The 15,764-nt window shown below is 34.9% G+C and overlaps 1 protein-coding gene across 2 annotated transcripts in view; it reads left to right on the top strand.

Moving 5' to 3' along the window:
* TMEM64 (transmembrane protein 64) overlaps nucleotides 1-15,764 on the top strand; it is a 24,089-nt gene extending 8,325 nt beyond the window's left edge. Inside the window, exons 2-3 of one of the 2 annotated variants that reach the window (NM_001008495.4) lie at nucleotides 6,052-6,207; nucleotides 11,897-15,759. In NM_001008495.4, the coding sequence (NP_001008495.2) occupies nucleotides 6,052-6,207; nucleotides 11,897-12,088 (348 nt within the window). In that variant the 3' untranslated portion in view covers nucleotides 12,089-15,759. Of the gene's footprint in view, nucleotides 1-6,051; nucleotides 6,208-11,896 lie in introns of both variants that reach the window. The other variant, NM_001146273.1, reaches the window with a different exon arrangement.

Below are 15,764 nucleotides of genomic sequence, written 5' to 3'. Positions count from 1 at the left end.
TAATAGGAAGTATTTTGGGGATATGTACAGTAAAATTATCAGTAAATATTAATTAGATGAAAAGACCAAACTGGTCATTTTAATTTCTCTTGACCAATCCTTTCTTAACAGTCATAGGGATTCATGATTTTTTTCTATAGGGATTCATGATTTTTTCATATATAATATAATTAAATGTATTTTAATTGGAATTTATAATATTTTAACAGTAACTTTGTTAATAAGCAGCATCCCAAATACCAAGCAACAAGTCTATACAGGAAGGTATAATTTGCCAAAATTAATGCTAGATTCACAGAGCTGCACATAAAATTTGAGGTCTTCTGAATACTGGTCACCTTTATATTTTTTATTACATCCATGCCAAGATATTCTATGTAAAAACAAAGTTTCTGGGTGGGTTAAATCAAAGTGGTAAAGCCATTGTGTAAAAAGCTATAATCTTAGAAAGCAGAAGAGCTGGGTCAGGTTTCCTGAGAGCTGTGCTTGGTGCTGTGCCTAAGAGGACCGACCACAACCCCAGCTTCAGTGAATGATCTGAAGACAGAGGTTCTCTGTTGTCAGCTCCAGAAATGCTGTGTTCAGAGGTGAATCAGCTCTTGCTCTTCAGAATTAGTTTTTTTTCCTCTCATTTTTTTCCCTCCCAGATGGAGTACTTCTTTGTTTTCAGGATCTATTTGGTATAGTGGTGAAGTGATGTTCCACATGTTAACCCCTGCTGACCCAGTTAAGTGAATCACATCTCCAAGTATATCACTGTACCTCTGGGAATAAGAGGATATATAATTTTATAGTGCTTCTAGAGTTTTTAAAACATGAGATGACAGCAATCAGTTGGTGTTTGCCATCCCTTAAACTCTTGCTGTGGTATCTCATCATAGAAACTAACTAGCAAGATAGCATCGATATCCTAGGTTGAGAAGTGTAGGGGTTCTTTGATTTGGAATACAACTCCTGAGCCAAAATGCTGGGTACTGCAAGCAGGAATTCCAATGGTATTGATCTAGGCTCATGTTTAATGTCTTTCTACAAAGTAGAACAAGGAGACAGAATTTTATAACTTTGGTGCTTGAAGACTTACTGGGGAGAGAAGGCTGGATGCATCTCCTTGTGGGAACAAGTATTCCAAATATGTTTGTCAAAGACTGAGCTAGATGGAGATTCTGAGTAAAATTTTTGCTTATAGAAAATGCCATATTAAAATAGACCAGGTGCAGTGGCTCACGCGTGTAATCCCAGCAGTTTGGGAGGCCGACGCAGGCAGATCATGAGGTCAGGAGTTCGAGACCAGCCTGACCAACATGGTGAAACCCGGCCTCTACTAAAAATACAAAAATTAGCCAGGTGTGGTGGTGTGCACCTGTAATCCCAGCTACTCAGGAGGCTGAGGCAGGAGAATTGCTTGAACCTGGGAGGCGGAGGTTGCAGTGAGCCGAGATCGTGCCATTGCACTCTAGCCTGGGCAACAGAGTGAGACTCTCTCTCAAAAAAATATATATAAAACAAAAATAAAATAGTTTGGAGGAAGCTGTTCATCTTTAATAAAGTTATTAATAGTTTAAAACCTGTGTATATGTATGTTACTGTGTTGCTCCATTGGTTAAAGCATTGAGCCCTCCAGCAAAAATATTTACGATTATTAACTAAAATTATATGTATGCATAGTAACACTGTTTCCCAAGGGTAAGGTTTGGTCATGAAAGGTTTGATAAACTTCAGTTTATGCAGTTTATGCATGGGCAACGGTCTTGTTGAGTTGAGTGGTGGAGTTGTTTCACATTTAGGAAATCTGTTCTTAAATTACCAATTTGAATATTATTGATGTCATCTATGAATGTCAATTATGTGTTCTATTTAGAGAAGCTTCATTACATTTAAAGGTAAAGGTTGTGGCCAGAAGTGTTGCATTCTGAAATTTTTGAACTGAGATATTTATTTTAAAGATAACTTCCATAATATGTAATGTTTTGTTATTAACTGCAATATAATTTTATAACATTCATTTTTGTCATATGTTCTCATTTTCTTTATTTGACATGTTTATTCTAAAGAAATTTCTCTGCTCCTGTAAGTGCTCTAAATTGAAGAAGGAACCTTGCTCAGCTTAGCTCCATTCACATCATTCTTTGACTAGACTCCCTGGTACCTTTCCTCTGAGTATAGGCTCCTTCCTCTTTTATCCAAGGCCCCAACAAGTATCACCCCATGTAGTTTTCCTGTCTTTATTTTACGGGATTTGTGTGTGTCGTATAAACAATCCTAGCTGTACTGCCAACTTTATGAATATATTCTGTACTTTCCCTGCCATTGCACTCTAGCCTGGGTGACACAGCGAAGAGTCCGTCTCAAAAAAAATAAAATAAAATAAAATAAAATAAAATAAAATAAAATGATTTGGAAGCTGTTCATCTTTTGTTCATTCTCTTCTTGAAACACCTGCCTTCCTCATCCTATCTATCTTTGCTTGCCAAACTCATACTAGGCTTTCAGTGTCTGCCTTGAATCCCTCTCTTCCCAAAAAGTTACGCTTTGGTTTCCACTTCTACAACTAATTTTCATCCTTTATTCTTTAATGCTCAGCATGTAGGCCTTCTCAATGCTCCCCATTCTGCCTGTTTCTGAGGTAGTTTATGTGTATTTGTCAGTGTGTAAATCCATCAGTGGTAGGCATTGTGTCTTTTTATCTCTTCCAAGCACTTCTTGGAGCATCTCGCATGAGCAGTTGAGTCAGTGATCGATAAGGTGGATTGTTAACAACCAGTCACTGTAATATTCTTTCCAAATCAGCAGTGATGCATCTCCAGTTCATTATCTATTAATATAGTTGAATGTAGTTTTACTGAAAATGTGAAATGATTTTTAGATTTGGTTGTATTAATAGTTATAGATTCACCTATAGCTGATTAAAGTATCAGATTTTAAAATTTGTAAAAAAGTTTAATATAGTGGCCAGTAGCTTTCTTATATACCAGTAATACTCAGATGGGGATGTGGAAAAGTTACTTTCAAAATCAGTAGTAGTGGCAACAATAATAACATGAAGTGCTTAGAAATAAACTAACAAGAAATGCATGAGATATGTGAATAAAGTGACCAAACTTTAGTAAGAGGTATAAAAGAAGATTTTGAGTAATTATAGAAAAATTTCTGGATAAGAATACCTAATATTGTAGAGATTTCAGGTCTATCCAGATTAATTTGCAGATTTGCCTTAATCCCAATATGAAATGTACTGATTTTTTTTGAGTGACAGAATGATCTGCAAGAATAAATATGGCCAAGAACAGTTATGGCCATTTTTAAAAGAAGCGTAAAGAAGGAGTTTGAATAGAATGGGAAATTCCTTGCCACGTATTAACTGGTAGTCTTTATTACAATTTGGTTTCAGTACGAGATTTGAGATACCCATGTTTTAGTTCTAGTAGAAGATTTAAAATATACATGGACAGTATTAGAGCTCCAAATAAGCCCTTTTTATATAAAGTAACTTTTATTTCTACTGAAGTATACATAATAAGTCCATGGAGAAGTTATTGATTATTTGGTATCTAATGCTGGGAAAATTGGCTACTGGAACGGGGAGGGATCAGGCTATATCCTCACCTTTAATTTGAATAAATTTCAGAAGGAATAAGTGGTGAATGCTAAAAAGGAAAACATAATCAGAAGAAATATATAGGTAGAAACCAACAATATACTCTTAAAACACTTTCTAAAGCTAAATGCAGTGGAAAAATAAGAGGAAAAAATAGATAATATTTGATTATATAAAAATTTAAAAACATTTGTATGTCAAAACATAAAATTAAGAGATAAAGGACACTTTAGCGAAAACTATATGCTACATATAATAGACAACAGATAGCCCTCACTATATAAATAGTTCTTACAAATAAACAAGAAAAACACTTAACATCCCAATAAAAAAAGCAAATGTGAACAAATGAAGCCATAAGGAAATGTGAATAAAAAACATATGTAGAAAATGTGTCAATATAAAATAGTACAGATTAATGATGAAACATCATTTTTACTCCTATCAAAATAAGAAAGATTAAAATTTAATACCTACAGTTGGTAACAGTATGACACAATGGACACATTCATGTATCACATACTGACAGGTGTGTTAAATCATTGTGAACATTTTGGAAAATAAGTTTTTTACTATTTGAACCAATAATTCTACTTCTAGTGATCTATCCTACCAGAGTTAAGATACGTGTGTCATGTATTGCTGTATACCAGATCACTTCAAAACTTAGTAGCTTAAAACAATCATTTATTGTCTCACAATTTCTCTGGGTCAGGAATTCCTGTGCAACTAGCTGGGTACCTCTGACTCAGGCTCCCTCACAATGCTGCAATCAAGGTTTTGGCCAGGGCTGCATCATCTTAAGGCTTGACTCGGGCAGGATTCACTTCCAGGCTATTGACTGGCTATTTTTCCAGACTATTTTTGCTAGCTATTGACTGAAGACATCAGTTCCTTGCCACATTGGGTCTCTCCATGGGAGCTACTTAGAGCATGGCAGCTTACTTGCTTGAGGAAGAAGTGGAAGTCCTATTCATTTTGTAACCTAATTTTGGAAGTGGCATCTCCTCACTTCTGCTCTTGCCTGTTTGCTAGAAGTAAGCACGAGGTCCAGCCCACGCTCTAGGGGAAGGGATCACACAAGGGCATGAATACCAGGAGATCAAGTCATTAGGAATATTTTAGATGTTGCCTACCACAGAGGTTAATATCCAAAAGATGTCATTGTAATTTTAGAATTTTTTGATAATAGCCAAAAATAAATGTGTAATTACATATATTCAAAAAATAAAGCAATGTAAATATTCTACAGCAGGAGTGGTTAAATTGTGCTACATCCACACAATGGTAGTATAATTGCATAATAATGATAATTTTCACCTTTTTTGAGTGTCACTCATATGCCAGGTATTTCCTAGATACTTTAGAAATATTTTTGATCCTAACAACAGCCATCTAAGCTGGTGATGATTTTCATTTTACAGATGAAAAACTGATAGCACTTTGGGAGACTGAGGTGGGCGGATTGCCTGAGCTCAGGAATTCAAGAGCAACCTGGGCAACACGGTGAAACTCTGTCTGTACTAAAATACAAAAAAGTAGGGCCTGGCGTGCTGGCTCACGCCTATAATCCCAGTACTTTGGGAGGCTGAGGCAGGCGGATCACAAGGTCAGGATATCGAGACCATCCTGGCTAATATGGTGAAACCCCATCTCTACTAAAAATACAAAAAATTAGCCGGGCATGGTGGCGGGCGCCTGTAGTCCCAGCTACTTGGGAGACTGAGGCAGGAGAATGGCATGAACCGGGGAGGCGGAGCTTGCAGTGAGCTGAGATGGGGCCACTGCACTCCAACCTGGGCGACAGAGCAAGACTCTGTCTCAAAAACAACAACAACAACAACAACAAAAAGTAGCGGTGTGGCGGCATGTGCCTGTAGTCCTAGCTACTTGGGAGGCTGAGGCAGAAAAATTGCTTGAACCCAGGTGGTGGAGGTTGCAGTGAGGCCAGATCGCACCACTCCACTCCACTCTGGGCGACAGAGCAAGACTCTGATCCAGACAAAGCAAAACAGATATTTAGAGACAGAGTAGCATATTGAATTATCAGCACCAGAATGCCATTCTAGGGTTATCTGGCTTCAAAGCTCAGCGACCACACTGCTAATTAAGAATGCTTATGAAGAATGTTTAATGATATGAGGAAGACTTACAAAACTGTTTTTACAAAGTTATCAATGTGTGGATTTTATTTACATGAAAGAAAAAATAGTCACAAATGTTACCTTTCAATGGTAGTATAATAGAATATTAAAATTTACTTTTATTTCATTCTAAATTTTCTACATTCTGCATGTATTCTCTTTATAATCATTTTGTAAACTCAGAATACTGTTGTAAAGATGTCAGCTCCTTCCCGAGGAAATACCACTAGTTAGACTTAATACACACATTTTTTTATGTTGAATTGAAATTTTACTTGGTAATGAATCATTCCCTTTAATCTACTCTTCTAGATTACTGATCTCTCATTACCCAACTATCTGATGGCATCTTCGGTTGGACTGCTTCCTACCCAGCTTCTGAATTCTTACTTGGGTACCACCCTGCGGACAATGGAAGATGTCATTGCAGAACAGAGTGTTAGTGGATATTTTGTTTTTTGTTTACAGGTGAGTTTAAGGCCAAGGGTTGTCTCTTTTTTTCTCTCTGTTTCTTTTTGTATGGCATTGCTGATTTGACAGATTTCATTGAAAATAATCAGAGGGTTTTTCCATTTTAGATTTTTTTCTTGGTTCTTTCATTACTACTACATATTTTGACAACATTAAAATTTTTTAATTGTGTGGATATATGCAAGTGTAGAACTGAATTGATACAGAAAAATCCTCTTAAAGAGGCAAAAAAGAATGACAAAAATAGGGTTATTTTTGCAGTGATTATTTTCAGAGTCATCACAAATCAAATACTGTATTTTGATTTTGTGTGAAGTGTATCTGAAAATAATTTCAGTAAGATTGGGCAGAGTTGAGTGCTTATCTTATTTATATTCAAATTATTGAAACTCACCTATTTGTATTTTTTAGTGTTATGTTGAGAGTGTAAATTTCTTTCTAGTACAATTTGATGTGAAACAAAAGATTTGTTTTAAAAAGTATTACCTCGTAAAAATGTCTAAGGTTTTCTATTACAAGTCCAAATAAGACTTGTATAATGGATTATTATTACCATGCAGATTGTAATATAGTTTGGGGCACATAAAATTTTACATAAGAAGTTGATGAAAGAGAAAAACACTGCCACATAGGCAAATTTCTTTAGAGCCTTTAAATTTGCATGCAGAAATAGTTAAAATTTATTTGTGATTGATTTTATTCCTGAGATTTAACAAAATAGAAAATCATAATTTTTCATGAACTAGTAAGATGATGATGATAGTTCACCTTTATTCCATGCTTTATATGCCACATATTTAAGCTCATTTAGTCCCTACCAAAACCCTAGGATGTACAGATTTTTTTTTTCAGATGTTTATTATCTTGAGCTGGTTATGTATTATACATCTCTTCCCAACTCAGCATTCAGTGACATCACATTGATAGCTTGAATTGCCCATGATGGGAATATTTACACCATGGGAAATGGCAAGTGCTGTAAATCAAGCCCCCTGTCTCTGATCCACAAGAACTGGTTCACAAAGACACCATTAGATAGTAACTTGTTTAAAGTCCCGACTAATAAGTGGTAGAGCCAGGATTTGAACCAAGGTGGTTGGTTCTAGAGATTATGCTCAAAACCAGTAGAATATAGTCAGCCCTCTCTATCCATTGGTTCCACATTCATGGATTCAACCAACTACAGATCAAAAATATTTGGGAAAAAAATTAAAAATAACAATACAACAATAAAAAATAGCACAAAAAAGTATTACAATAACTACATAGCATTTACATCATATTAGGTATTATAAGTAATATAGAAATCATTTAAAGCATGGAAGGATATGCAAAAGTTATATGCAACTATCATGCCATTTTATGTAAGGGACTTGAGTATACACAGATTTTGAAATCTGGGGGGCTCCAGGAACCAATACCCCACAGATACAGGGGACAACACTATACTCCTCTAAGCAAATAATACTAATGAAATGGTCCTCCAGACTTACTGGTCTTTTAACTTGTTAGTTTTAACTTAACTGTTATTGAGTATATGGTACCGTATTACAAATTTAATTTTGGTGGCATTATTCTCAAGTTTTTGAGGCCCTATCTTATTTAAAATACTATGATAAAATAAAGCCAGAGTTAATTTTCTTTGCGCTTATGAGGTACAAGTTTAGTACATAAAGTAAAACCATGAATATTTACATTGAAATATTGCCTAAATAAAGCTTATCAATAAGAGTACTTGCTTTAAGAAAAATTTTGTAATATTTTTGACATGCAAAGAGTCAGTTTTTATTTTTCTTTACTTTTTTTCCCCAGAGCTATATTTTCTTCAGATAATCTGAATCTAAGTTAAATGTTTTTGTTACAGTTGGTTTATTTATATAATACAGCATGCTAATCATATAAAGTTAAACTTTCTATGCATTATATCTATAGCACAGTATATAAATTAACATTTATGATTGTCCCAAAGAACTGTAAAATTATCTAATATGTATTGCATTCTCAGATTTTTTTAGTATGAAGTTAAGCATTTTTTTTGTAGTTTCCTGAAAATAAGTAATCTATTTGTAACATTTTTTTCCCTTTGACTTTACATTTGAGTAATTAGAATCCCTCATTGTTAGTAGCTTAGAGAGAACTTTTACTATTTGAAACTTTATATTTTTATGCATCTTAGTAAATTACTCAACTATAGTCAATGAAGTTCATGATGCTTTTTAAACTATAGAATCTTCTTTTATTCAGTGATTTCTCACCCTTTGGCTAAGCTGGAAAATTTAAGCTTAGAATACAAGACAGTGGGGAAAGCACATATTTCTTAGCCTAGGGATTTATGAAAAGAAGTGAAGACATGTTTACGCTTGTTTGATTTAATTGATATTAGTTACAGCTTAATTTGTATCAGGAGGCATTTAATGCAGCTTACAAAATATATACAAAAGGAAAAAAAGAGAGCTTAGGTTAAAGCTAGCAGAATAAGTATATTCATGAGATTCCTCTTATTTTCTAGAAACGAGCCACAAATTTGCCTCTGAGTTTTATGGCTGTCAGCCTAAAATAAAGCAATACAAAATAACTGTTCATAGGAAGCCACAACCATTTCTTGTACAGTTTGATTATCCCTTATCTGAAATGCTTGCAGCCAGAAATGTTTTAGATTTTGAATTTCCTCAGATTTCAGTATATTTACATTGTGCTTACCTGTTGAGTATCCCTAATCCAAATGTCTGGAATCTAAAGTGTTCGAATGAGCATTTTCTTTGAGTGTCTTGTTAGTGCTCAAAAACTTCGGGTTGGAGCCTTTGAGGTTTGGAATTTCTGGGTTAGGAATGCTCAAACTGTACTGAAATCCAGCTTAGATTCTGTGGTCTATTTAGTTACTCTTCCATGCCTGTTATTTTTCTATGTATCTACTAACCAAAACCCCAAACCTGAATACATCCAAGTTTTATCTGCTTTGCCCCTATTCTTTTGGGGAAGTCATGTAACCAGACACATTGATATTTAACTCATGGTTGCAAATCTTCACCTAGTTTCTCGACACTGCCCCACATCCCATCTCTCTCCTTTGTCTTCTCACTCCCCTGCTGTTGTCTTGAAATAGTTAATTATTTTAAACTATCTTCACTTCTCCTCACAATTTTGACTCCTTCGCCTGTTTCCATCTTTATTGTCAGCAGATTACCTCTCTTGCTTAACAGAAAAATCAGAAGCCTTCAACTGAGAAACCCCTGAATTTGCATATAAGAAATCTGTTAACTTCTTATGTTCCTGCCCCTGCTTAGCTTGCTTTCCAGTTAGCATTAAGAGATGCCTGTCTTTCTGTATGAGGCTTGACCTTCTGCCTGTGTTTGATTCTTTGATTTCATTTTAATAAGGAAACTTTTAAAACAATTGTCTGTACTATCTATTTCCATTTTCTAAACCCTTTTTAACACTTCACTCAGCTAAGGAAGATGGGGAAGGTGTGTTGGGGGACAGTACAAATCGTCAGGCCCTGGGATCAGAAGTGCAGCTGGGAAAGTCCCACTTAAAGATGTAACCATTTCACCCTTGCTATCTGTGGCCCTGCCACTTCCTTCCCTCAAACTGCTCTTCTTAGGGCTGTCAGTAAGCTTGTCTAAATGAGATGTACTTTCCATTTCTCATCTAGCTTGACCTGTTAGTAGTCTAAGACTCCTGACAGTGCCTTCATTATTAAAACACTCTTTCCTTAGTTTCTTTGATACCACTGTCTTAACTTTTTTTTTCCACTTGCCTAGCTTATGCTTAACTTCTTCCTTTCACCCCTTATATCTGTGTTTTTGAAGATCCTAGCTTAAGTTTTCTAGTCCTACTCTGAAAACTTTTTTACAGCAAATCCAGTTACTCTGATGGTTGCTAATATGTGTATTTGGGTCAAGACCCTCCGCCTGCCCTCATCCTACTCCCCAGCACTTGTCTTTAGCTCAGCCCTCTTTCCATAGCTTCAGACCCCTTCACTGACATCCATGAACTTTTTTGGATATCTAAGAGGCACCTCGAATTCAGCATGTCTTAAACAGAAGGTAGCATCTAATTCACAAAGCACCCGCCCCCGCCCCCATATTTTTTTCATCTCTTTACATGGTGTTTCCATTTGTTGATACATAGCAAACTTAGGAGTTTTCGGTAAATATATCTTGTTTCTTTTAAGAGAAGTAACAGAAAACAGTTACAGAATTTAAAGACCCAGCTTTAAGATGCCTAACTTATTTACGATTTTACTGAGTGATGGGTACTCATTTAATGGCACCCCCTTGTGCAAGTTCCAAGTTCCTCCCCTCTCACACTTACCATACCCCCAGTATGCTCTGCTTCTGTTATCTCCTCCCCCAACCACCCTCAGCACTTGGATTTAGAATACTTTCCCTTTAAAGCTTATGTTATAATTATGGGTAGATTTCATTGAAATTGTATTATATTTCCGTATCACTTTTGGTTACAGCAGCCTTTGTAAACTTGCTGGGACATTAAATAACACCTGCTGTGTTTGCTCCAAATCCTAAAGAACTGATTTACAAATGAACTTTGGAATAAAACTCATTTAGAAAATGTACACTGCTTAGACATTCTGAGGAGCTGTACATAGAATGCTAAAGTTGGCCGGGCACTGTGGCTCATGCCTGTAATCCCAGCACTTTGGGAGGCTGAGGCAGGCAGATCATGAGGTCAGGAGTTTGAGACCAGCCTGGCCAACATGGTAAAATCCCGTCTCTACTAAAAATACAAAAATTAGCCAGGCGTGGGGCGCATGCATGTAATCCCAGCTACTCAGGAGGCTGAGGCAGGAGAATCACTTGAACCCGGGAGGCATAAGTTGCAGTGAGCCGAGATTGTGCCACTGCACTGCAGCCTGGGCGACAGAGCGAGACTCCATCTCAAAAAAAAAAAAAAAAAAAGAAAGAAAAAAAAAGTACAGAGGGACCACAGCTTCCTATAGGACAATGAGAAACTGAAGCTTCCCTAAATCACACATCACTAGTGAATAGCTAAGCTAAGACTAGAAACCTGACTTTCAATTTGATCAGTGTGATGATTTTTCTAGTATCCCTTTGACTAACATTTTTAAATAATCATCATGTTTTCCTCTGATTTTGTTTTTTCCTAAGTACAGGCAATTACTTGTTCACAATCTCTTGTTAATTCTTTGGAAGTTTATTGGCATTTCATTTTTTTAAGTGGTCTGTAATACTTTTAATTTTGTCTTCACCAGGTAGTTCATTGCAAATAGTAGTGCTTCTCACTAAGTGGGCTTAGAAATACCTATGGACATTTATAGTCATGCAAAGGTATAATACTACATTAATTATACCAACAAAGTTTAGCCAGCTGTTACCTCTATTGTAGACATTTTTTATTCCTTGAAGAAAGCTTTTTGGTACAAAGAGACAGGTTTGGCTTGTATCAAGTGAACCAAAAGGAATGTGTGTTTTCCTAATACCATGTCATGGTTACCTGTAGACTTTGGTCCTCCACTACCAGGAGAAGCAGCAAAGGAAAGAATAAACAATAACTGTGTGTAAACTATTTAAAAATGTATAACCCTTTACCTACCATCTTTGAGAAGCACCCTGTTTGAAGCATTTCTAAGCCAAATATTTATTGGATTTATTTCTTTTTTTTGTATAAAATATTGATAACTGTAATGTTTTATTTTTATTCACAGATTATTATAAGTATAGGCCTCATGTTTTATGTAGTTCATCGAGCTCAAGTGGAATTGAATGCAGCTATTGTAGCTTGTGAAATGGAACTGAAATCTTCTCTGGTTAAAGGCAATCAACCAAATACCAGTGGCTCTTCATTCTACAACAAGAGGACCCTAACATTTTCTGGAGGTGGAATCAATGTTGTATGATTCTAATGAGATACGTGATTGTCAAGAGCCTAGTGTGCTATCTAAGGTCTAGCAGTCACTTCACTAGTGGGCAGAGACAAGTTCTAATTGTATTACAGCACAAACAAAACTGACTAGTTTTTAAATTGCACAATTTTTTTTTTTTAAAGCAAGAATCATTTTCTGGGTATGTAAGTGTAAATGTAGATGCAAATTTGGCTGCACCTCTTTATCATGCCTGTATTGGCCTATAGGTCTGCACTTTAGTGTTTTTTAATTGTTTTATTTCTGTGTATTTACGAACAGAGAAATAACCCAAATATTATTTCTGCTTAGTGTCTTTATTTATAAAGCCCATGAGTAGTTTGTATGCATCTTTCCTACTTGTAAAGATGAGTAAAAGTATGCAGTTTTAAATTTATAATATTATTGGATGTTCTTTGCTTTGGTAGTCTTTCCAGAAAGGATAAACAGTGGTTTTTGTTTTGTTTTGTTTTATTGTTTAAGTGGGACCACTTAGCTTCCCGTTTCCTTACTAGTTAAAGAACAGACATTAATTTTCAGTTGAATGTATTTTTGCAGGCATCATATTGTTACAGGGCCATTTACACCTATTCACAAAGCTTAAATCCTACCTTGTGGGACTGAAGTGCTCTTAATATAACTGTTTATTTTCACTGTGTAATATGCAAAGCAAAAGGGAAATTATTTGGTGGATGGTAGCTCAAAATTGGAACTCTTGTTCTAATTCAGTTACATTGGCTTTACCCTCCTTAGATTTTTCATCAAAGGGCTGTCCCATTGCAATCTTACTAAAACATTTTGTTAAAATAAACTCTTTTCCTTTTTATATTAATAATTAGGCTTTTAAATAAAGATGTTATTCCTTTAAAATGGTGGGCTTACCATCATTGAAGATGTCACTCAGGTGGCCTTGTTTGATCAAAACGCCTTTTTTAAAAACCAAGCTTTAAAAACATGTTTATAATTTCATGAAGTACATATATATTGTTCCCATAGTCTTCAGCTTTAAAACTATAAATATGCCCAAATTTTGTTATTTGCCCTACTTTAAGTAGGTTTATTGTGTTTGTTTTTTCAGTACTTGTTTTTCTCTGATAAGACTCAGGAATTCTGAAATGTGAAATTGTCTCAATTCTTTCTCTTGTAGCATGAATCAAATGTATTTATTAATAGCACTTATGACTATAGAATATAATTTGGCATATGATTCATATTACATATGTATTCGTTTTATTTTTAAAATAGTTTATAAACTTAATGATTTTTTTTTACAAATGAGGTTATAGATATTAATGCAAATTTTCTGGTAGGTATCTCTTTTTTTGCTATGATGATTCCAACTTATCAGAGACCTCCCATTTGCCTTTTCATTACGGTGAAAGCTTTGCCCTCATCTACTAAAGTACAAAGGAATTCTTTGGAAGCAGATTATTCTAGTCTTATGCTAGAGATGAATTTGATCATTTTAATGTGTGATCTTTTTGCTCTATCAGGTATAATTGTTTTCCTTTCCTTTATAATGGGTAAGTTTTCTCACCTTTGAGTAACAGTAAAGTTCATTTATATGTCCATACCTAGAAGACCAGTGCAAATACTTTGAGAGCACCTGGGTCTACAGGACATAATTGGCATCTAAATCCTCATTTCTTGCTATTAGTAGGAAAACAGATATAGTATTGTAATACCCTTATTCTTTTTGAATCCTAATTACTCATTTCGGTTTTTTTTCTCTCTTTTGAATCTAGTTGCTGGTTTTCGTTTAATGATTTTAGTTTAACAATCCCAACCAACAATACATTTGATTTATTTTTTTCTGTCTAACCTGACAACCTTTTTCTTGTGCTTCTTGTTTGTTGGTTAGTTTTTGTGAAAGGAATCATTGTTTAAGATCACTGTTTTCATACTTGTTTTACACTTCACGTATTTTGAAGTACATTTATTTACTAAGCATTTGTGACTTGAATAATTTCACCAAATGAATACATTTTGGTAGTTTGTAATGAGTTCTTCTAATTGTTACACTTTGCTTGGTACTTAACAATAAATATGTAAAGGTAAAAGAAATAATTTTCTGTATTCTGCCAATCTTAATTTTATATAATAAATCATCCATTTTTTTCTTAAAATAGTATGGATTGACTGTTTCTAAAATACCAATCTGTGGCTGTGGTTTTTCTTTTCTTCAGCATTTCCAGCATCCAAGTAAACAATAGTCCCTTATAGTCCTGCTACTTGATGGGTAAATTTGGTTGCTGGGTTTTTAAGTTGCACTCACAATAAATCGTGCAAAGCATTGTCATGCCTTATTTACTCCATTTTTAATCCTGCATCCCAGATTTATGGCAGCAACACATATCTACAGGATACTTTTATGTTGTCCAAATATTGCTGTCAGTCATATGTACTTATAAAATGTCTCCACTCATGTATATTTATAGAAATGAAATGTCAAATTTCTCAGACTGTTAAAGTGCAGTATAAAGTTGCTTAATGCACACTTAAAAATGATATATAATTTCTGAATCCTATGAAATATGTGTTCTTTTTTAATTCTTTGGGAGTTTTCTTAAGTTTTACATGTTTTTTGGTTTATTGTTAATGATTTTGTTTACTCTTTGCCAAATTTTGTCATGTAGGTTATTTTACAATAGCACCTTTAAAAAAAATGTATATGCTAATTTACTAAGCATATTCATGTCCATTTTTATTTGATCATCTGATTTGTGAAATAACTTGAAATTTGTACTGTTTGGTTTGTGAAAATAATATTACCAAATCTCTGTCATTAGAATGTGTACTTTATGTTCAGAAGTGACTGTGGGTTTATTCAGAGCCAGCCATTCTCTCCCTTGATGCACTTTGTAACCAGCTACACATGCTTTTAGGTGGCTTTTCCCTGATAGGGTCAAGTATATGACTATAAAACATTTTTCTTGTGAAGCTATTAAGTTCATTAGTTACTCTTATTTCCCCTTGTTGTAACTAAGTGGTGCAGGTATAAGCATATCCCCAGCATTCCTGTGTGTGTGAATGTGCACTGCTGATTTGGACTGTTCTTGAGAAAGGTGCTGTGACATATGTCAATATTTGTTAGCTCTGGGGATATCTTTAGAATGCTTGAGAAAGTTGCTAGGTGTGTGCCACATTGGTGCAGGTAAATCCATGCTGTTCACAGCCAAGCAGCATTTGCAGAGAAAAGGAGAGTTTTACATAGACCCCAGGAAAAACAGTACTAACCTGGTTGATGGCCTTGGTGGTGGAATTTTGTTTCAGCCAGAGGCTACTCATTATATCAGAATGATGTTCAGTATAACACTATCTGATTTTTAGATTGGTCGATTTCTGTTGTAATCAAGTATTTAGGATGTAATCTTTTTAAAGTCATTGCTTTAATCTGAAAAGCCATTAGAAGGGAGAGGAATCACTGTTCCACAGGATATTTAAAACTCAGGAGTTCAAATAACCTCACATATTGAACATAAACTGTTAACTTATTCCACAACTAAATTCTAACCTGATACTTATGAATTGCAAAGTGATTGCTGCAAACTTTTTCTAAGGTGGCTGAAGATTTAAAATAGATCATTCTAAAGGGAAATCAGTAAAATGTCTTGATAATTGGTATCCAAATCACTTGTGTGCCTGAGAAAATAAAAGGTAATATTTTACTTTC

Source organism: Homo sapiens, chromosome 8, assembly GCF_000001405.40.
Source record: "Homo sapiens chromosome 8, GRCh38.p14 Primary Assembly".
NCBI lineage: Eukaryota > Metazoa > Chordata > Mammalia > Primates > Hominidae > Homo > Homo sapiens.
Note: the sequence above shows the minus strand (reverse complement) of the source record. Positions and strands in the feature narration are given on the sequence as shown.